The sequence below is a fragment of the Homo sapiens genome, chromosome 8 (assembly GCF_000001405.40).
Source record: "Homo sapiens chromosome 8, GRCh38.p14 Primary Assembly".
NCBI classification, from domain to species: Eukaryota; Metazoa; Chordata; class Mammalia; order Primates; family Hominidae; genus Homo; species Homo sapiens.
Genome location: NC_000008.11, coordinates 132,866,425 through 132,888,573, shown reverse-complemented (window position 1 = coordinate 132,888,573; position 22,149 = coordinate 132,866,425). Strand labels below are relative to the sequence as shown.

Sequence of the window (22,149 nt, the reverse complement as noted above, 5' to 3'; positions counted from 1 at the left end):
CTCACATGTTGGGAGCTTGCTTGGCTCAGACCGCATTCCTTCCAGTTCTTGGCCAGCCTCATCCACACACCAGCAGTTCCGAAGATCAAAATGTGCCAAAGGAGTGCTGAAGTCTGAGTAGGACCCCGGGTATTGGCTGAGTTGGCCATTTAAGATCTGCCAGAAGAGGTAGGGCTCCAGGAGGATATTCTCCCTGGGCTGGGGCCGTTTCCCTTCCAGTGCTGCTAGTGGGACATCTTGCAGAGAAGGGTATTGTGACAGCACCGGGAAGACATCTTGCTGGCCAGCCTCATACAGACTTTGAATAAAGAGACTGAAGTTTCCGGAAGCTGCTTCTCTGTAGCTCATGATCTTCACTAGCAGCTTGGCAGGCGTCAGATCCTGGCCCTTGTTCTGAGCCTCCCATCGTTGGTACAACTCGAAGACCTGCTCAGGAGGCCCATTGCATTGCACTTGTCTCCACTGCCCATCGGTGCTGCACTGTGGGATGTAGGTGTCGGAAAGGGTGGGTAGCATGCTGGAGTTAGAGAGCAGGGCCTGCACCGTCCTGAGGAAAGCTTGCTCAGACTGTAATTGACAGGGCGTGGGGCCTGGGGAGGAACAATGAGCAGGTGTTTCAGTTTAAGAAATTTAACAAACTGGAAAGACCAAGATAAAACCACTTAACTGTCCAAACTCCGTCTAAAACCTTATATAGCCATAGAAATACCATGAAGCTTAAATTTGTAAATAATATCTAGATAGGCATTGCCCCATGACTAAATCAGCACCATTGACATCAGTTGGTGATCAGCACTGCAGAAATGTGGCAGTTCTTTAAGGCCAGACAAATCTCCCCATTTACTCCTAGGTCTGATTAACATTATCTAGGCATTCCTGGATAATTTTTAATATAAGCAGTCAATTTTGTCCTTAACTGAAGTGTAAGCATTGGCCAGGAGTGGATTTCTATTACTGTACTGCATTGGGTCAGGGCCTAAAGAGAGACTCAGGGAACCTACAGATTGAATACCCAACAGACTTACATTTCTTGGGCTTCCCTATTGCACTTCGAGTTCCAGGAATGGCCTGACCCTCAGCATCAACACAGTAGCACTCTGAGTTGAAGCACTGGACAGGCAGGAAATGTCCCTCACTAGTACAAGCAGGGACAAACAAGGTGGAGCCAGCAGGCTGGCTGCCCATGAGGCTTTGCATGCGAGCCCTTTGCTTTTCACAGTCTGTGGGGCACCTTGGCTGTCCACCTCTGACTCTTGAGCCTGGAAGCTCTTTGCCCCAGGAATTCACACACCAGCACTCTCCGGAAAAGCATTGGACATCCTCATAGCTTCCTTCTGTCGTGCATGATGGGACAAATAGCCTTTCAGGTGTCTGCTCACAGGTCTGGGAGCTGAGTACCGTTTCCATCACATCACCTAAATCTCTTGCCACATCTTCTGGCACAGAGATAGCATGTTGCAAGAAGAGAAGGAATTCTGGAAGCTCCAGGAGAGAAGCAAGGAATTTGAGGGCATTTTGGTTCTCTTGTAGGTTAATTTCAAAGCCAAAGCTGCCCACAGTTGGCTTATTCATAGTACCATCCTTCTTAGCAGCTTCAGGGGTTCCTGTGGAAGAATTTGAATCTAATCCCACAGAGAGTGGCTTGGCCAAATCTTCTTGTCTCCCTCCATTCAAGAAGCTTGCAAGACCAAGTTGCTGGAAAAATTGACTGAAGTTAAATGTGCCTCTTGTGCCAAGGGCTCCAGACAAGTTAAACTGGCCAACATTCACCAAAAATTTCCCTCCAAAAAGGTTTTGCTGGAGTCTCTTTGGGTTGGTGGTAAACTGAAGGGCAAGACGAGCCAGCCCTCGGGAGGGAAAAATTGCTCGGATGGCTTCTTTGAGAAGATTTTCTGAGACAGAAAACTGTTGGCTCTGTCCCTCCACCATTGGGCGGAGAAGCCCAGAGTCCACAAAGAGCTCCTTGATCGTGGGTGGGCAGGATGTGGCAAATCTGGCTACTCTTGGAGAGGCCCATCTTTTCTCTGGGGAAGAGAACAGGTCGTGCTGGCTGAAGTAGCCTGAGGTCCCAAAGTAGAGTCTGGACAAGGCCTGCTGCCTTTCGGAGGCACAAGATTGGCCTTCAGCTGCATGAGACAAAGTGAAATGGGAGAAAAGGTTTTAATGTCACAAGCAATCCTGAGACAGCTCCTCAGATCCTTTAGGTAGTAAGAAGCCAGAACATTCAATCAAGGACACCTACGTTTGAAACCACTTTCTTCTCTGTGTCATTTTATTTTTTCCTTTCCCCTGAGCTGCCTTTGTGGGGCCATTTTGGAAGTGTGACTTTTCCAGTTGGCATGACCACTCCACCAGCTCTCACTAGAGGTTCATCCCTTCTAAGGCAAGTCTTGAAAATACTGGCTCACTTTCTGAAAACCTGACCTCACTTGCCAATGGTACTCAGGTGAATAGTGTCCCCCACCACACACAGACATGATGTTCATGTCTACAGGGAACCTCAGAATGTGGTCTAGAAATAGGGTCTTTGCAGATGTCACCAAGTTAAGATGATGTCATACTGGATTAGGGTGGGCTCTAAATCCAATGACTGATGTCCTTATAAGAAGGTCATGTAAATAAACAAAGATGCACACAGGGAAGAAGGCTGTGTGAAGACACAGGCACAGATTGGAGGGAGGCAGCCACAAGCCAAAGACACCAGGGATTGCCAGCAACCACCAGAAACCAGGAAGGGGCAAGGAAGAATTCTGCCATAGAACCTTCAGGGAGAGCATGGCCCTGCCCACACCTTGATTTCAGACTTCTGGCCTCCAGAACTAGGAGGGAATAAATTTCTGTTGTTTTAAACCACCTGGTTTGTGGTGACTTGTTGTGGCAGCTCTAGGAGACTAGTAGACCAACACATTCCTATGCGTATTTAATGAAATGTTGTCTTCCAGCATTCTCTCGTTGGAATTCTCAATAGACTTCAATGCTTCACTATGTGATTTTAGTGTGGCTAATTCCTCCTTGGGAGTAGTCTTTTCTAGGCTAGCTATGGTCTCCTTGAGGGCAAGAACCATATCTGAAATGCTGTTAGTGGTTCCTATTATAAGAAATATTTTCCTATATTGTAATATATATTATAATATAGGAAATATAATACTTCCTATAATATAAAACAATAATGCCTACCCAGTGTACACACTTAGAACATTCTTCTGAGCTTCTTGACCTTTCCTAGAAATTACTAATTTAACAGTGATCAGCTCAGCCAACTCTTTGCATGGTCAAGTCATTCTATCTGAACATCCTAGGCTGACTGTAGCCACATTAAGAGAGAAAAAATGTAAAATTCAAACACCAAGGGGCTGTCTCAGTTACATAGGTGGATGTAAAGTAAGCTCCATTTTTCTCCATAAAATCATAACTCTTACCTTTTAACCACCACGCCCCCCCCCCAACTTTTAAAATATTTTTTTCCTCTTGATTCACATAAATGCCAAAAAGAAAGTCAGCCAATTTCCTTCTGTAACCAGGCAACAGAGAAAGAACTGGAAAATGTGGTGGGAGGGGAAAGATTGGCAGCATCAGAGCACGTAACATCCCTCAACGAGGCCATGGCCTCTTTTAATGGATATTACAGGAAGGTATGGCAGAAATAAAGTTTACTGCTTTGCTTAGTCTTCTTCCAAATTAAGAGCTTACCCTTTCTCTTTCCATCCATTTGTTATGTAGTGTTACCAAAGCAAGGAAATTCAATTACTGTTTCCATGTGGCATTTGTTTCCACAGAAATAGGACCTGATATACCAGACAGAAAAATTGAAAATATATGATCTATCTATGCACTTGATAGAGCCATTTATGGCCTTTAATTTGGAAAGCCATAGTTCTTCATTTCCACCTGGAAGTTGGATGGCATAACATTCTCTAGGTTTTAGTAGAAATGAAATGTGATTGTAAATACCTTCAAGAAAGTGTCTCCAAATTTTCTTTTTCGACATTCTCACACTTAGCAGATAGAATATAACCACATACCATGAAGAATATTCAAAAGGTTAAGTGGGACAAATGGAATGATTTAGCAGGAATTATTGAATGAATGTTAATATATATATTGAAGCTATAAAAAACCCTGCATTGGTGTATCACTATTCCAAATCTTTTAAAATCTACCCAGCTTCCCCAAGTTGGAAGCCTAGGAATGCTCCTGGTTCTTCCCTTCCTCATCATAACATCCTTCAAAATTTCACCAGGAGGAGAAAATGGGGTCTGGCTCGAATGCCTAATAAGAGTTCTCACTGTCTCCCACTGTTTCTGCTTTAATGTTGGCCCCATACTGGGTTGAATAGTGTCCCTCAAAATTCATGCTCTTCCCAGAACCACAGAATGTGACCTTATTTGGCAGGAAGGTCATTGTAGATGGGATTAGTTAAGATGATGTCTGACTGGATCAAGTGGAGCCTTAACCCAACATGACTGGTCTCCTTGTAAGAAGAGGAGAAGACTCATAGACAGACACAGAGGGAAGATGGCCACGTGGCAATGGAGGCAAAGACTACAGTAATGCTGCCCTAAACCAAAGAATGCACAGATTGCTGGCAGCCACTACAAGCTAGGAAGAGGAAAGAAAGGATCCTCCCCTAGAGCTTTCAGAGGGAGCACGGCCCCGCTGACACCCTGATTTTGGACTTCCAACCTCCAGAACAGAGACAATACATTTCAGTTGCTCTCAGATGCCCACTTTGTGGTGATTTATTACCATAGCCCTAGAAAATTAATACAGACTCCATCAGCTCTGGAACATGGCAATGACCTTCTAATTAGCCCCGTTGCCTCCGGACTACTGCTTCTTTGAGTCTCTCCTCCAGAATTTCTTTGCCTTACGTGCAAAACCCACGATGATACTGTCCAACTTAAAACCTTTCACTGTCTTCACCTGACCTCCAGGATGAAGCCCCCAAGCCTTTGTTAGGATAACAAAGACCTCATTGTCTTACCCCTGCCTTTCTTCAGAGTCCGGAGCACCACCCTATTCATACTCCAGCAATTTTTTCTCTATCCTTCTTGCAGATTAGATGATCATTAGCATATCAATGCCTATTATTCTGTCCTTCTAATTTTGCTTCTCCTGCTCTCTATATAGAGAACACCTTTCCTTACTCCTCTCCTTCAGGAAACATCTTCTTAGAAGATTCTGATCAAGTATGGCCTCTTCCATGCATTCTTCCTAAATGCCTCCTTCCCATACCTGCTGCAAGATCGAATGCCCACCTCACCATGCTCCTTTAGTTATGTGCATGCTCCTGTCTCACCGCACATGGGAACTCAATTCTCTTTTATTTTTCTTCATCTATGAGCCTCCTAATATTCCCTGAGCTCCCTGAAAATGCAACGAGGTCTGACACAAGATGAGAAACATGTTGGAAGTTAATGATGATAAACTGGTTCTCAGACAGGTTGAGCTTGAAGGGCCAGAGGGGCACACTAGAAGGCAGTTGAATTAATGGGGTCCAGAGAGGTTGGTCTGGAGGACCGCCAAAGTAATATGATCCGAGGCCGAAAGAGGAAGCCCCCAGAGGAAACCCACCACAAGATGGCGGCTCCCCTTGCTGCCGGGTTCCATGCATTTCCTTCCCCTGGGCGTCCACACACCAGCAGGGCCCTTCCGTCTGGCACTGCACCGCCTGATAGTCGCCATTTCGGCGGCAGCTTGGAACATAGGGGTGACCAAAGCTGGTTGCTGTAAACCGCTCCACTTCACATTTTGTGGGGCCTAGAGGAAATCCACACAGTAAAGAAGACAGTGTCAACAATGCTTGGTGTCTTCACAGCATGCACTGCTGTTTGCTCTTAACGATTCTTTTCATCTCTGCCCTCACTTTGGTGGAGCAGCCACACACACCATAGCAACTTTGAAACCCAAGAGGCGTCCCCCTAATGGAAACACGCACATTGTTGGCAGTTTATTACTTACATCGGAATCTGCCAGAGATGACTGATTGAACTGCGAGGAACCGTCTCTGCAGTATCCGGTACAGGGTGGTTTCAGTGAAGGTGGAAGGAAGGTCCAGGCCAGCAAAAATGGTGTCATAAATTTCATCCAGTAACAACTCCAAACCTGAGCAAAGACAGCAAGACTTTCAGAGATGGTCTCATTCAGAAAGGAAGCCCTGACCTTGTTGTGCAAACAGATACTGAGAGAGACAGCCTTCACCAGCATCATTAGGCAATAAGTCTGAACAACACTTTAACAGTTTCCAAAGTCAGAGCTGCTGTGGATGGTTGTGCAGGCTGTTCATAGAAACAAAGGAGCAGTGCTTATAGAATAAGAGATTAAATCCATCCTGTGCTCCACTCGCCAATTTCGGGGCTGCATCTGCCCAGAGCGGGGCACTTCTTTCCAATGTGCACAAAGGCACTATGTGGGCCAGCAGCAGCTGCATTCACCATACTGCAAGATGACAGTTTGCTAAGGTTGTGTCCTCCTCAATGCCCACAGCAGCCTGGCAGGGGGCAGGCAGTCACTCTAGCTGTGCTTTACAAGCAATGTTATCCAGGTTTTCAGACCTGAGGAATCACACTCCCTCCCTTCAGATCACCTGAGGGGTATCACTCACCTGTCTCAGCCAGTTCCCGCCCTTGGCTGTCAGCACAGTGGCAATACCCAGATACCTCAGGGAACCTCCTCTGGAAGGAACTGAAGGTCACAAATGCATCTGGAAACCTTGGAGAGAATGAGATTTACGGTCACCATTCATAAAGGCAAGTCATCACAAGCTTTTCCTGTAGAAATAAATGTGGCCAAGTCCACGCCTAGTGAAAAGGAATGTCTACTTTCTTATCACATGACAGTTGCTTCATGCTTCCTGCAGTAAATGCATTTCCTTTACAAATTAGTTTAACCTGGCTGGAACCAGGCTGGACCTTGTAAAATAAAGCTGTGCATAGCTGTCGTCTAACAATTAGCCGTTTTCCTCACTTATGGCATTTGACCAATTTATGCCCATGCGTTTGTCTCATAGGGCAAGGCAGAAAGCAGTCAAGGAAAATCGCATTAACTGGTTCCTTTCCTGGAATACAGCTCTCGAGACTAAAGGCCAAGTCTGCTTTACAAACATATGGTACATTGGAGATTATCTCATTTTGGGAGATCAAATGACTTCAGGCCCCTTTACGACTTTTCAAAAGCTTGAAAAGAAGCCAGCTGCCACCACAGGAAATCCTTAAGAAGGAAATGTATCCAGTCCCATAGTTGAAAAAAAACACAAATCAATACAGCATCACTAACAAGGGCTATCCATCTCTTTCCGTAAACTGAAGAAAGAGATTCTCTAATCACATCTGGCCTGGCAATTGTTATAACGAGCTCATCAACTGGGTTCCCTTTCTTAGAAGTAATAGAAAGGTAAGGTATAAAAAGCCATATTGAGGAGTTCTACCCCTGTGCAATGATTTAGCAACCAGAGAGGAACTGTTCATCTTTTATAACATTTAGAGATTTGTTTTCATGCCCTATATAACTATATAACTAATATATGAGGTCCAAGCATAATGTGTTTCTACCTATGTCTGAAATATATCTCCCAGCAATAAGTTAACGGAAGCAGCAGCTGTGTACAATGATAGGCCAATTGCTGTGCAATCTATTCTAGCAAAATATTGAAAAGAACCTTAATGTCCAATAGTAGAAAATTAAGAAGTAAATTATAGTAAATGCCCTAAATATAATAAAATGCTATGATTGAGGACAATGCTTAAAAATTCTAGCCAAAAGGGAGTGTGTATAACATTATGTAAAAAGGTTAGATTATAAAATGCCATATACATGTATTGCAATTACAACTGTACAACTGAATCAGTATTGGAAGTCAATGTGTGGTGTAGTAATTGCTGAGAGCCTGGCTTTGAATTTCCATTCAAGTTAATAACTATTATTTAATTTGAATGGAAATGGATATGCAAAACAAAAGCTAGAAATGCACTATAGGATTATGGATGAGGTTTTTTTCCATGCTATTAATCTATTGTTCTGTGTATGTGTGTTAAACAGAATGTTACAGTAAGCGTGTTGCATAACAAATATTAAAAACTCACTTTGCTTAGTTGCCACTAATAGGGAGGTAGGGGGTATATAATAAAAGTTCATTCATCAGAGCCTAGGATAATTCAATTTTAAAAATACTCATAATAGTATAATAATAACTTTTATTTACTGAGCACTACTTTGTAAAAGACTATCTGCAAAATGTTTTAATACACATTGATTCATTTAATCCACCTAACACTCCTAAAAGGAAGGTGGTACATTTTAATCCCCCTTTTAGAGATTAAGAAGGTGAGGTATATGGGCCACTGTCTTGAACTAGTGGTGAGAACTAGGGTTCAAACCCTGGTCTCATCCACTACATGCTGCCTATCTCTGCCAGTGGTGTTATTCAGTGTGTTTTTGGCTGCACCTGGCTTCTGTCCTACATCCTGCCCTGCAAGGCATGTGACTCTGTCTGACACTGCTCCATATGCCCAGCACCTCGCTCTTCCTGGCATCTCATAGATGTTGATGACACAAGTGCTGGCCCGAGGTGGGTTCTGAAACACATTCCAGCGTGAGGCACAAGTTTAAATCGTTTAAATCACTCTAGTTCCATGCTTCGCTAATTCAACCCAGAGACCCACCTCAACATCCTGGCTCATGGCAGACATGACCTCCACAGTCTTTGAGCCATCTTCATCCTACCACTTTATGGTCAGAGCCCCTCTCTGGGGGTTTCTGGTCTTATAAACTGCCCAGTACCTGGACCTACCAGTGTTTTTTGCATGGACCTCACTCTTGATATTCCTGCTTCCCGCACATTGGAGATCACCCTGTCTTCAGCTCTGGAGAGGGTCCTCCCACCCTCCCAGTAAGATCACCCTAAGGCCAGTTACTGCCTTCTGGGCTCTCTAGGGCTGTTCTTTGCTGACCTCTAGGACAGACACCCTGTGCTGCCATCTTTAATCCCTTCTTGCTAATTCTGTATATAGTGAGAAGAGCTAATATGATTGTTGCTATTAATTACTATTCATAAAATAATCACAAGTGATATGTATGAACAATCAGACCAAACACTCTCCATATTTGTCTCATTTAATTCTCACAACTCTTTAAAAATCTCCACTTCCCAAATGAGAAAACTGGGATTCTGCATGGTGATGTGACTGGGTCAAGATCATCCAGCCAAGACCAGGGGCCAAGAATCCCAAGTCCATTTCCAGTGCTCGTTCAACAACAGCAGGTGGCCAAAGGGTGAGACTACCACTCCAATAGAGCACAGTCCTTTGGGGGCCCTGCCCTGCAATCACCAGTGATTTCAAGCTCTGAATCTTCCCAATTTCCTGTGTGCCCACAATTCCATTTGATACAATTTGATTTCTGTGGCTAATTTCTGAAATGATATCACCATCTATGCATTTTGGACTCCTTCTCCAAAATAATAATTAGCACCATGAAGATTGTTTAGCTGTTATTCTGCTACTGTCAGTAGTGATTCACTGTCATCAGGGAACAGGGGTTCTGTCATGCTTTCAGCCTCCTCCTTATTAGATCTCCTGCCCCACATCAACCAAAAGAAGTCAAACTACTGAGACCGAACCCAAAGCCCTGATGAAAGCTGGAGAGTCAGGCTCCATCCCTAGCCTTGGGCCAGCTGGACCAAAGAATGTCCCCAAAGGAGGTGAGTTTGAGTGGGATTCTAAAGCCACGAATGGTGATTTGACCAGGAGATAACAGAGGAGTGAAGAACATATCTAGAAGGGTCGTTTGCATGCCTCCAACTTCAAGGTGGGAGACAGAACCAAGGTGTGGGCAGCAAGGAAAACTGAGATATTGGTAGTCACCGAGGGAGGTACAAGTCTGGTAGAGAATGCCAGGACCCAACATTCGCAGCCTCTGAAATACAGCACCTGGAGACACTTTTTGTTTTTTTTTTGTTTTTTTTTTTTGAGACAGAGTCTCGCTCTGTCACCAGGCTGGAGTGCAGTGGTGCGATCTTGGCTCAAGTGATTCTCCCAGGTTCAAGTGATTCTCCTGCCTCAGCCTCCTAAGTAGATGGGACCACAGGCACCCACCACCACACCCAGCTAATTTTTTGTATTTTTAGTAGAGACGAGGTTTCACCATCTTAGCCAGGATAGCGTCAATCTCCTGACCTCGTGATCTGCCCGCCTTGGCCTCCCAAAGTGCTGGGATTACAGGTGTGAGCCAGCGCGCTGGACCTGAAGATGCTTTTTATAGGCATTGGCCTTTGGAAACCACTGGTCCTTCAGCAGCAGGACATTGTCAAGTCAGATGGTCCCCTGTGGCATACAGTGTTCCCCCCTTCATGAGGACCCGAGGAACCAAGTTCCCTCCATCATCAATAGAAGAAAACATTGTGACCCCTGAGAAACTCTTATTTTTATCTTGTAGAAACCAAGTAACTTAGACTATTTTTTTCTTTTCTTTGGTTACAGGGATCCCAGAGCCAAATATGCAGCCCCTCACATTTGTTAGGACTGTGTAGAATGAGTGATGTGGGCCAATCTTTGCCTTGCCTTATTCTGATTTTCTACTTTTATTTTGCCTTCCTCATGATTCCCTCTAATTTCCATTTTTATCCTGTTTTGGGCATATCAGAAGAAAGGAGGAAGACAAAATCTACACAATATTTAAAAATTGAAAAATACCATATTTTGGACTACCACTCCAACAGAGCAATCACCAGTGAGTTCAAGCTCAGAATCTTCCTAATTTTCTGTATGCCCACAATCTAGTGGAAAAGGATGTTTGCCTTTTGTTGAATAAAAAGCAAAATCTCAGGGTGGCCATAGAAGAATCCTCAAGAAAGCAAATGCTAGCAGAGGGGCAAGGGGTGGCATTTCTGAGTTTATGCTCAGATTACAGCCAACCTAGACAGAGAAATTACAACCAAGGCTCAGAGGAATGCGAAATTCTGGTCTCCACTGGGCATCTGGTCTTGTTCATTCGCAGAGTACGATTCCTGCCTCCGGGCTCAGTCAGATTCTCTAACATCTCCCACAGGCAGTTCTTTGGAAATCTAAACACTGACTCACAAATGAGCCATGTATTTCATTCTGTCCTGCACTAGGGAGGGTGCTCCTTAAAAGAGCGGGCCGTACCGGGCATGGCTCACACCTGTAATCCCAGCACTTTGGGAGGCTGAGGTGGGTGGATCACTTGAGGTCAGGAGTTTCAGACCAGCCTGACCAACATAGTGAACCCCGTCTCCAGTAAAAACACAAAAATTAGCCATGTGGGGTGGCGCATGCCTGTAATCCCAGCTACTTGGGAGGCTGAGGCAGGAGAATTGTTTCAGCTTGGGAGGCAGAGGTTGCAGTGAGCTGAGATCCCATCACTACAATCCAGCCTGGGTGACAAAGTAAGACTCTGTCTCAAAAATAAAATAAAATAAAATAAAATAAGAGGGGGCCGTAGCCTAGCAGAGCGCCTGATGCATAGCCAACCACCACAGGTGTCTGTAATGAGGGTGATCTGGTGCTTCCCCAGTGAGGATTTCTCCATACAGTACCTTCCACATTCTGGTTACAATGCCCCTTTACCATATATTAAGACACATCTGATCCTTCTTCCCACTGGGCAATCTGGGTAGCATGGGTGGCTAAGGCATTTGAAGTTAGACTGGTTGCTAAGAAGTTTGAGTGTGTTTAGTCATTAAGGACAAGGGTTAATAAAGAAGCCAATTAACTCAGATCATTAAGGCTTTGACAATGGCATTAGCCCTGCTTGAAGGCTCTTAAGACCTTTACTTATGATCTGCTTGGTCAGAATGTGTGTCCACAGTTACTGGTTGGGCTAGGGCAATATAAAAGATGGGGCATGAGTCAGAAGGACCAGTGAAGCTTGCTCCCCATTACAACATGGTTCTTTAAAATTTTCCAGCCAAACAGATATTGTAAGCAGTAGCCTTCTTGAAGGGCAAAAGGACCTACTTCAGATGGGCAAACATCATTGCCAAATTCAAGTGCAAACCATCACCCAGCACATAAATAACTCACAGCAGCAGGTCAGCGAATGAGCTGCCCACAGGATTCCAGCCTTCTGGTGGCCCCAGGGAAGTAACTGCCTTCTGCCACTTCTCCATTTTAATTTTCAAAAAAAATCCCCTTAGATTCAACATCCCAAAACAAAGCTTGTGGCTTTTCCTTTTCAAATTTATCCTCAAGAATCCATCCAGAAACCAGACCTAGGAGTCATTCTTGACTCCCCCCGACCCTCACCTCCATATCAATTCCTTCACCAAGTTCTGTGGATTCCACCTGGTAAATATTCCTCCAGTCTCACCCCATCTCTTGGCTGTCCTCTCCGACACTTGCTCCATGTCAACGTCGTCTCTTGCCTGGACTAGTGCAGTAGCCTCCAAACTCGGAGGGCTGCCTCCTTGCACTCACTCTGCTCTCCCCTCACCCATTCCATTTTTTCAGAAATCCAAGTCCAGTGGTGATTATGATATACCCTTCCCCAACCCCAAGCTTCACATGCTTGCTGCAATATTGAAACATACTTACACTGAAAAAAAAAATTACTCTTTGCTATCTGAAATTCAAACGTAACTTGCTGTCTCGTATTTTACCTAGAAACCTGAGTCGCTAAGCTTAGGCCCTCTATATGGCCTCCAAGGCTCCTTCCACTGTGCCCAGAGAAGTCACTGGGCCTGCGACTACCCAGGTCTACTTAAGTATCGGAAAATCCCTGATTACAGCTGGGCTTCCAGTAACCAACCACCCAACCCTTCCCATGACCTTTCAATACCATAATTTACTCAGAGACATGCTTTCTTACAAAATGAAAAGGCTCCCATTTCAGGAGTAAATTTTTGTGTTTCTTTTAAACAAAGAATGCTTATTCTGAACTTTTGCATTTAACTCGACTGCCCTCTTGTGGAAATAGCTGTGAATTGTGCCTCAACCTCAGTGTGGCACACACCAGGGTCTTGGATGCATTCACCAATTCCTTAAGCACTGATTCCAGACCTGCTGTGTGCAAGGCTCTGTGCCATGCACTGTAGGGGAACAGAGATGAGTTACATTTATGTGGGATACTAAAAGGAGCCAGACAGTTCTAGCACCTAAGCTTACTAGGGTGAGTTCCTTAACCTCTGTGTTTCAGTAATCATTTGTATAGTAATGACTATAATTATCTAATTATAAGTATTAAGGTAAGTTAAAGGATATAAAATTCCCATTATATAGTAAGCACTCAGGTGATCTTGAACTGAGAACACATTGGTTTGCAGCAATAAGTACTCAATAAAACTGGCTGTTTGAGATTTATACTTGCTCTCAGGCAGGCCAGGCCTGGAGGGGGAAATTCTAACCTACATTTGCTGAAGCTGGCTGATGCATGAGAATTACCTACAGAAGTATAGTAATTTACAACTTTGTAAATTTGCACCCATGGTTTCATAGATGAGGCCTCATCAAATCTTCACTATGGTGTAATGAGCAGGGGCTTGTCTTCCATTTGACGGATGGGAACACTGAGGCTCTGAGAGAGTAAGTGGCCAGGTCGCTGTGCTAAGCAGGGGCAAAGGCAGAAGGCAGGTCCCAAAGGCAAATGCTACAGGACCAGGCAGGTCATATAAATGGATGAGGTAGGCAGTGGTGTGGCAACAGAGCACAGAGGGACCCGGAGCACAGAAGGGCGTGTCCTTGGTCTAAAAAGAGCAGTAAAGCCAGTGTCTTGATGCCACCAGTGAGTGCGTGCGTGCAGCCTCTCACCCTTGTTCTTTAAAATCAGAAATTCAGAATTGTGTGTTTTAGGTTGAACATGTGAAACTTCTCATGTTCAACTATTTTTTAACCTACAAAAATAGAAATTTCATGGGGTTCAACCTAATAAAAGTTTCCAGTTTTTAAAATATGATGCAGTTCAAATAAAGTCTGCCTGTGGGACAGTTCTGCACACAGGCTGCTAGTCTGAGATTCCTCCTGGCACAGCCCATGAGAATTTCCTCCCTCACACATGGAAAGAAACTGGTTGTTTTGGAAACCAGCCAAAGAGAGGCTCAAGTTCTCCAAGAGAATTCATATCAGTCTTTGCAGACTAGTATTCATATTTCTTTCTACTCCAAATGGTTCAATTACATCTAAAGTCTGCGTGAACCCTTTACAAGAAACCAGTGGCCAGTGTGGATGACCAGAAGCTACTCTGGCTATTTGGGTCAAGATCTATAATGCCTCTCTCTGTTTATATTCATTATTTACATTTTTAAAGTTATTTGTAAGTGCACGTATACACACAGTTTACAAAAATTCACAAATATAATGATATCCATGCTTTTGGGAGTGCTGCCTTTTTTCCTCTCCTGCAGATCCCCTTTCTGCCTCCTCTTGATTTATTTTTTATTTTATTTTTCTTTTGAGATGGAGTCTCACTCTGTCACCTAGGCTAGAGTGCAGTGGCACAATCTCGGCTCACTGCAATCTCTGCCTCCTGGGTTCAAGTGATTCTCCTGCCTCAGCCTCCCAAGTAGCTGGGACTACAGGTGTGCACCACCACGCCCGGCTAATTTTTGTATTTTTTTTAGTAGAGATGGGGTTTCGCCATATTGGCCAGGCTGGTCTCCAACCCCTGACCTCATGATCTGCCCACCTCAGCCTCCCAAATTTCTGGGATTGCAGACATGAGCCACTGCGCCCGGCCTTCTGCCTACTCTTTCTTCTGCAGAGCAGCCCTGGCCCTAAAGCAGCCCAGGATAACCATGCACTTTATGCTCCTTCCTCTTACCCTCTGTGCTCACATAGTCTTATATAGAGACCTGCATAATAATATAGTCACATAAGCACAAATAAAGAATCTTTTTGCTCATTTGTTCTTTAAAAATTTAAGCATATTATATTATATTATCTGTGCTTTGTATCTTGTATTGTATTATCATAATATACTGTGGCCTCCTCTCCAGATCAAATGTTCTAGCAGCTCTAACGCAGTCTTTTTAATGGCTACATAAATATTTATGGCAGATTCACATTTATTCAGCAAGCCACGTTTTGATGATCACTTTGCTCCCGGTTTCCTGCTACAATGAAAAATGATGTAGTAGGCACCCTAGCCGATATGTCTTCACATTCTGATGTTTTACATTTCATTGGCCAGAGGGCACATCTATTTTTCATTAAATATCAATTGCCAGTTTGCCTTGTTAAAAAACGCCGTGGCACTTTAGATGCCCAGGACAGCTCATGAGAATGAGGCAGCTCTTAATTCCTTATCATGCTGCACATATGACACATGGAGGCCCCCAGCTCAAGGTGAGTGTGGGCTGCGTCAGGTGATGGCCCAGTGACTGGCACACCCCTGCTCCCCTTACCTGTTGTAGCTGTGGACCAGATCAAAAATCATCATGTCTGTGGTGTTGACAAATTTGCACTGGACAGGCATAAACTCTCCCTCCGCAGAACACTGGGGTGGTGACTTATCTCCCACCCCGTGGAGAAGACGACGATTTCTTATTTCACAGCTCCTTGGACCTAAACATTTTCACGAAAAAAAAATCCTTATATATGAGTAGACACATATTTCTGCAGTCGAGCAGCATATGCACTCGTGTCCCTTAGCAATGGGGATGAGCTCTGAGAAATGCATCGTTCGGCGGTTTCATTGTCGTGTGAACATCATAGAGTGTACTTATGCAGACCTAGATGGTTTGCCTACAGCACACCTGGGCTATATGGTCTAGCCTAGTGCTCCCAGGCTACAAACCTATACAGCATGTTATTGTAATGAGTACTGTAGGCAATTGTAAGACAATGGTGAGTATTTGTGTATCTAGACATACCTAAGCATAGAAACGGTACAGTAAAAATACAGTATAAAAGATAAAGAATAGTACACCTGTATGGGGTACTTACCATGAACGGAGCTTGCAGGACTGGCAGTTGCTCCGGGTGAGTCAGTGAGTGAGTGTGAAAGCCAAGGACATTCATGTGCACTGTTGTAGACTTTATCAACACTATGCACTGAGGCTACACTAAGTTTATAATTTTTTTCTCTCTCTTCAGTAATAAGTTAACCTTAGCTTACTGCAACATTTTTTTTTTTTTTTTTTTTTTTTGAGACGGAGTCTTGCTCTGCCGCCCAGGCTGGAGTGCAGTGGCGCGATCTTGGCTCACTGCAAGCTCCACCTCCCGGGTTCACGCCATTCTCCTGCCTCAGCCTCCCGAGTAGCTGGGACTACAGGTGCCCGCCACCACGCCCGGCTAATTTTTTGTATTTTTAGTAGAGACGGGGTTTCACCGTGTTAGCCGGGATGGTCTCGATCTCCTGACCTCGTGATCCGCCCGCCTCGGCCTCCCAAAGTGCTGGGATTACAGGCGTGAGCCACCGCGCCCGGCCAATATTTTTACTTTATACATTTTTTAATTTTTTAAAACTTTTGACTCTTTTATGATAACACTTAGCTTAAAACAGGAACACATGGTACAGCTGTACAAAAATATTTTATTTCTTTATATCCTTCTTCTATAAACTTTTCCTTATTTTTAATTTTTGTTTTACTTTTAAACTTTTTTGTTAAAAACTAAGAGATACACACACACATTAGCCTAGGCCTGCTCGGGGTCAAGATCATCATTACATCACTAGGAAATAGGAATTTTTCAGCTTTATTATAATCTTATGGGACCATCATCATGTATGTGGTCCACTGGTGACCAAAACATCCGTATGCAGCACATGGCTGTGCTTATACTATACACGTGACAGTTAGAGACCCATGCAGTGACTCAGGTCTGCAACAGGAGACTCACAACGTTCAATGAAATCCTGTTTATGTTTCTAATGATCAGCCAGTGAATATGGCTTGTCTACCATATGGAAATATGAGAATAATAAAACCTTCCCTTTGAAGCTTTCATTTTCCCTAATGAGGGCCTGGTTCTCTGCCCACTTCGGCAGGAAACCCTAAATGTGTTGGATCGCAGTGAGGAAAGCTTCAGCCCCTCCCCAGCTCTAGGGGTGCAGGCGCTCAGTGAAACTCACATCGCTTTGGCCTCCCCAGCTGGCGGGTCCCATACACCTCCATCCCCTCTGCGTCCACACACCAGCACTGGACCTGCTGCACATCACACTGAACAGGCGCGTAGTCCCCTGAATCCTGACACTGAGGGAGGTAGGAGGTGTCTGTGCTGTTAATGTAGCCACTCAGTAAGATCTGCTGTTTCTGTAGCTGACAAAATGACAGACCTGTGGGTACAAGGAGCAATGTTAGATAGAACTGCAGGGAAATTTCCAGGGGGCAGAGCCCAGGAAAACTCATGCTCCCTTCCCAAGGGGACACAGCTGAGAGGGGAATGACCCGCCCAAGGACACGCAGTGATGGGGTGGCAGCCACAGAACAGGCCTAGCTAGTATCCTGTGGACTGAGTCAGAGAAGGGCTGATCTCGCTGGTGCCACATCAGTCAGGTACCCCAGAGCACGGTCCTGTGGAGGGGAGATGGGATCAGAGTGCAGGCCTGGCATTAACAGAGCTTTTCTGAGTCCAGTTTTCTCCACGGGCTCTCTGTGTGATCCTGGGGAAGCTGCTTCACCACTCTGCTTGTAGGCTAGTGACATTAACTGCTACAGTTTCAGCATTTGTCCCCTCCAAATCTCATGTTGAAATCTGATCCCCAATGTGGGAGGTGTTTGAGTCCTGGAAGTGGATCCCTTATGAAGAGATGAATGCCTTCCCTCGGAGTGAGTGAGTTCCAGCTCTATTAGTGTCCATAAGAGCTGAATGTTAAAAAGAGCCTGGCACCTCCACCTTCTATCTCTCTAGCTTTCTCTCTCACATGATCTCTGCACAGATGGTTCCTCTTCCCCTTGTACCATGAGTGGAAGCAGCCTGAGGTCCTCAGCAGCAGCAGAAGCTAGTGGCATGCTTCGGCACAGCCTGCAGAGCTGTGAGCCAAACACATCTCTTTTCTTTATAAATTATCTAGCCGCAGGCATTTCTTTATAACAACACAAATGGACTGAGACATTAGCAATGATCACCCCTATTGAATACCTACTATGTGCCTAGTGTTTACACGTGTTCTAAATCCTCACATCATACAAGGCAGATGCTATATTCATGTTACAGATGAGGACCCATAGCTCAGTGAGGATGCCTGACTCAGCCAAGCTCACACAGCAGGAGAGTATGGGGCCAGCGTGCCCCCATGACAACCATACTAGATGCATAAAACCAGTACCCCAAACAGAGCTTTTAATCCGTCAAAGGATAGTTTTGGTTTTAGGCTCAATTTCCTCATTTTGAGGTGGTTGGCTTAAGTTAACCATTGTTTTAGAGTTATGACATGCTTTAAATAGGGACTGTGTTTCTTTGATTACTCACTATAATAATTATCTTAACTGGATAGCTTTGACCCAAGTCTTAAATTTTAGAAACTCCTCACACCACGGGTGAGAAGGCACTCATATTTTTCTGGTCACTTTCTGATTTCAGGAGATGTTGATGTCTGTTCACCATTGTCTTCTCAGCATGTGGCTCATGGGAGGAACTGGGTAGATATTTATTGAACAAATGACTGGACTTTCACAGTGGCCCTGCAGGAAATAGGGCCTTCCATGGCTTGCAGGGATGATTCTTATTCACAGAGGAGAAGCCAGCAGCCCAGAGGGAGGACCTGCTCAGTCACCCACCCAAACCCAGTGCTCATTCCTGGAAGTGAGTTGTCCTAGCAGGGTCCCTCCAAGGGACGTCCCCCACTCCCACTTACAAGCCACAGGCCGTCCTGGCTGCCTGCTGCCCAGCACTTCACTGCCGTTGGCACCCACACACCAGCAGGAGCGGCCGTCGTTCTGGCACTGGACAGTCCTGAGGAGGAGACACAGACCAGGTGACCCTGGGATGGGCCCCCAAAGCCACATGCCGGCTCCCACTCAGGCTACTTTTCTTCTTCATTTCCATTCTTGCAAGTTTTGGTTCGTTTAAATTAGGGAGAGAGTGGAGTGGAGAAGGGTGGCTGACCTGGGAAAGGAAAGGCCCCACTTTTCCTGCCTGGCTAGCACCTGCTCTGCCTCCTGCCCCAGCCATTCATTCACCACCTGTCCAGCCTGCCAGCCCCAAAACAAGTGACCCACCCTGGAGTGCAGGGCTTCAGCCACATCCACCAAGTGTCCTCAGGCATTATGAGGCTGCAGAGGGTAAAGGCAGTGCCCACATTGTATGGATAGGGAGTGGGGGCTTGGGGGTGGGATGTTAGTGGGATCAGGGGCCAGCAGGGTATATTGGGAAGCACATGGGTGGGGTCAGGCCAGGCCATAGAGTTGACTCCCCAGAAATGATGACTGAACTGAGACCTGCAGGATGGTCAGAGGTATAAGAAGGTAAAAGATATTCCAGGTAAAGGGAACAGCATATGCAAAGCCTCCTGAAGAGAGGCCAGGTTTGAAACTGCAAGAGGCCAGAACAAGAGAGTTGGGAATGGGAATATAAATAAGGCTGGTGAAAGTGAGACTTCCTCCTTAACTCCTTCCTTGCTGTTCCAGAATTCCCAGTGATCTAAGCAGGGACTGCTCTAGCAGCATCTCTGCACACTCGTGGGAGGTTAGGCACATTAAGAGTGTACATAAGATAGCAGCAGGGAGGGAGGTTTCACAGACATTTCCCAGAACGCAGTTATATAAATGGAGTTCCCCTGATTCAACATGACTGGAATAGCACAAGGAAATTTCAATGCATGCACATTGCAAAGGATTCCTGTCTATTCTGCAGGGAAGAATTGTCTAGATTATTACCACACTCTCCACAGAGAGGGTCTCAGGCCCCAAGTCTGCATTAGGGCAGCTGGAGAAACCCCTTTCAGAGAGCAGCTCAATGTGGAGACAGCGACCCAGAAGCCCAGAGGCAGCCTAGAGAGCTAGTCCGGGCAGGGTCGGTGGCAGCTAAGGACTAGGAAGTCAAGGCAGCCTCTGCTTCCACCACCCCAGCTTCTCAAGAGGATACTTGGAGGAGGGAGAGGTCCCAAAGCACAGATCATTTGACACTCTCCTCAACCTGCCCCACTCCCCACACGTGCCGTTTATTCAAGCCATCACAGAAAAAGTGATGGCAAGAAGAGAAGGGAGGGCAGTGGGAGGATGAAGCATGGATTGGGGTTCACTTGGTCAGATTGTCCAGTGTTGAACAGCTTGGGGAACTGAAAGGCAGGCACCTCCAAATGACAGTGGAACTGAAAGGCAGGCACCTCCAAATGACAGTGGCCAAGCCTCACATGCACAAAGGAGTTGCAGGGCAGAGCTCAGGAAGAGGGGGGAAGGCACAAGATGCTTTTTATGGCATCTTGGACCTTGAGAGTTCGCTGCTGACATAAGCCTTACTGGAAGCTGCCATCCTCTGCACACTGGGGCACGTAGTCTGCTTGCTTCAGAAAGGCCGTTTCCCTCTGCAGCTCACAGGGACGAAGGGGCTGGGCATCCACCTGGTACTCTAGGAAAAGAAAAGTGGTTCATCAAAGAAGAGTGTGGACTGGGCTGCCAGGACAGAGACGGGCTCTCATAAGCACAGATGCTTTTCCAGGGTCATCATCATTACCTATGACAGCCTATTTTAAAATTTGGCAGCTAAGCACACTTTCTTACAAGTATGACATTAGCTCATTTAATGTGCAACATTCTCCTAAGAGGTGACAGGCAATATATCCTTGTCACTCATGAGGCACCAAGTCTCAGGCAGCGAAAGTCGTCTGCCCAAAGTCACGTAACTGGCAAGTGAAGGATCCCAAAATCAACGCTGGGACTACACGTTCCCCGCCCGCCCCCACCCTGCCGCAATTCCCATGAGGCTATTTGGAGTAAGTTAGAGAACCGTAAGGAAGTTCTTCTTGAATCTATCAAGCCATGCCCTGCAGATGTAACATGTTCCAGATAAACATTGAAATACCAATTAATTAATAATGTACATGACTTATTTTTCCATTGAGAACTCTTGTAACACATAGGGTCCTACCCAGAAATCACAACCGCATCATGAGGTGTGTGTTATTTGTTTACTTTTTAAATGAAAAAAAAAAAAAAAAAACAGAAGCTTGGCACTTTGCCCGAAGTCATATGGGTAAGTGGCTGAGCCAAAGACAGAACTTAGGGCTATTTCACTTCATAGGTAGATTTCTTTTTCTACTGCTTCTAAAATACCTGTTATGGATGACACAGACTTTGGAATAGCTAAGGGGATAAAAACCCAAGGTCAATGCCAAAAGTTTGCCAAAATGGTGGGGTGAGGAGGACCTAGAATTGAATTAGGAAGATCAACCACATTTCCCATTTCTGCTCCATCAATCACTAGCTCTGTGACCTCAAGTAATTCAGTTCGGCTCTCTAAATCTGCCTCTTCATCTGAAAAAAAAAAAGCAAATCACTGACATGTGGGAATTTGTGAAGATTAAATTAGATCGCACCTGTTCGAAGGCCCAGGGCAGAGCCTGGCTGACACTGGAGCTCCCTCCCCACCGCCTGGCTCCATGGCCTCAGAACTTACCGAAGATATTGGCCGACACCCAGCAGATGGAGGCCAGCAGGGTGAAGATCTCCAGGACCAGGGCCATTTTCCTGGCCCTTCCTGGGAGGAAGGAGGAGAAACCACTGCTTGCCCTAGGTCCCCTGGCCAGGGAGCTTTTATAGAGCTGCCGTTGGCACTTTCCTTCCCACCCCCAGGTCCTCAGTGAGGCAGTGCCCCATCCTGTTTTCTCTGCTGGTCAAAAGGAGCTCCCTCCACCTGTGTCTACTCCTCCTGAGGGCACTCGTGTGGCCAGTGGAGCATGAGGATCTTGTCTAAACTGTGGGGGAACAGAACGGGGTGGGGTGACTTCAAAATCCTTTTTTATGGGTAAAGACCAAAGCTCTGTATCTTTGGAGGGAACAGGCTCAAGCCCACAGTGAGGGAAAAGCAATCCTTTGTTCTTTCCTTCCCCACCCTACCCTTTCTCCTTCTCCTTCCTCCTTCCTTCTTTCCTTTCTTCCTTTCTTTCTTCTTTCCTTCCTTTCTCCCTTCTATCCTTCTTTCCTTTCATTCTTCCTTCTTTCTTTCCTTCCTTCCCTCTTTCTTTTCTTTCTTCCTTCTTTCCTTCCTTCCTTCTTTTCTTTCTTCTATTCTTTCTCTAACAACCTCTTAGAGCTCCACA

At 45.4% G+C, this 22,149-nt stretch overlaps 1 protein-coding gene across 13 annotated transcripts in view, besides 2 other annotated features; it reads right to left on the bottom strand.

The window, feature by feature from the left end:
* The window catches only part of TG (thyroglobulin), a 267,942-nt gene extending 246,326 nt beyond the window's left edge, over nucleotides 1-21,616 (bottom strand). For 12 of the 13 annotated variants that reach the window (NM_003235.5, XM_017013794.2, XM_006716622.4 and 9 more), the window contains exons 1-10: nucleotides 21,507-21,616; nucleotides 20,351-20,459; nucleotides 18,748-18,845; nucleotides 17,023-17,226; nucleotides 15,353-15,512; nucleotides 6,605-6,711; nucleotides 5,962-6,105; nucleotides 5,575-5,760; nucleotides 1,026-2,126; nucleotides 6-590 (exon numbers count right to left, since the gene is read on the bottom strand). In NM_003235.5, coding sequence (NP_003226.4) covers nucleotides 6-590; nucleotides 1,026-2,126; nucleotides 5,575-5,760; nucleotides 5,962-6,105; nucleotides 6,605-6,711; nucleotides 15,353-15,512; nucleotides 17,023-17,226; nucleotides 18,748-18,845; nucleotides 20,351-20,459; nucleotides 21,507-21,573 — 2,761 coding nt within the window. In that variant the 5' untranslated portion in view covers nucleotides 21,574-21,616. Of the gene's footprint in view, nucleotides 1-5; nucleotides 591-1,025; nucleotides 2,127-5,574; nucleotides 5,761-5,961; nucleotides 6,106-6,604; nucleotides 6,712-15,352; nucleotides 15,513-17,022; nucleotides 17,227-18,747; nucleotides 18,846-20,350; nucleotides 20,460-21,506 lie in introns of those variants that run through there. The other variant, XM_047422166.1, reaches the window with a different exon arrangement.
* Nucleotides 5,151-5,650: an enhancer, noted in NCBI's record as "H3K4me1 hESC enhancer chr8:133895169-133895668 (GRCh37/hg19 assembly coordinates)". NCBI's record gives its function as "activates a minimal SCP1, AML or CMV promoter by ChIP-STARR-seq in naive H9 embryonic stem cells {active_cell/tissue: H9 hESC(naive)}" and the evidence as "EXISTENCE:reporter gene assay evidence [ECO:0000049][PMID:30033119]".
* Nucleotides 5,651-6,152: an enhancer, noted in NCBI's record as "H3K4me1 hESC enhancer chr8:133894667-133895168 (GRCh37/hg19 assembly coordinates)". NCBI's record gives its function as "activates a minimal SCP1, AML or CMV promoter by ChIP-STARR-seq in naive and primed H9 embryonic stem cells {active_cell/tissue: H9 hESC(naive and primed)}" and the evidence as "EXISTENCE:reporter gene assay evidence [ECO:0000049][PMID:30033119]".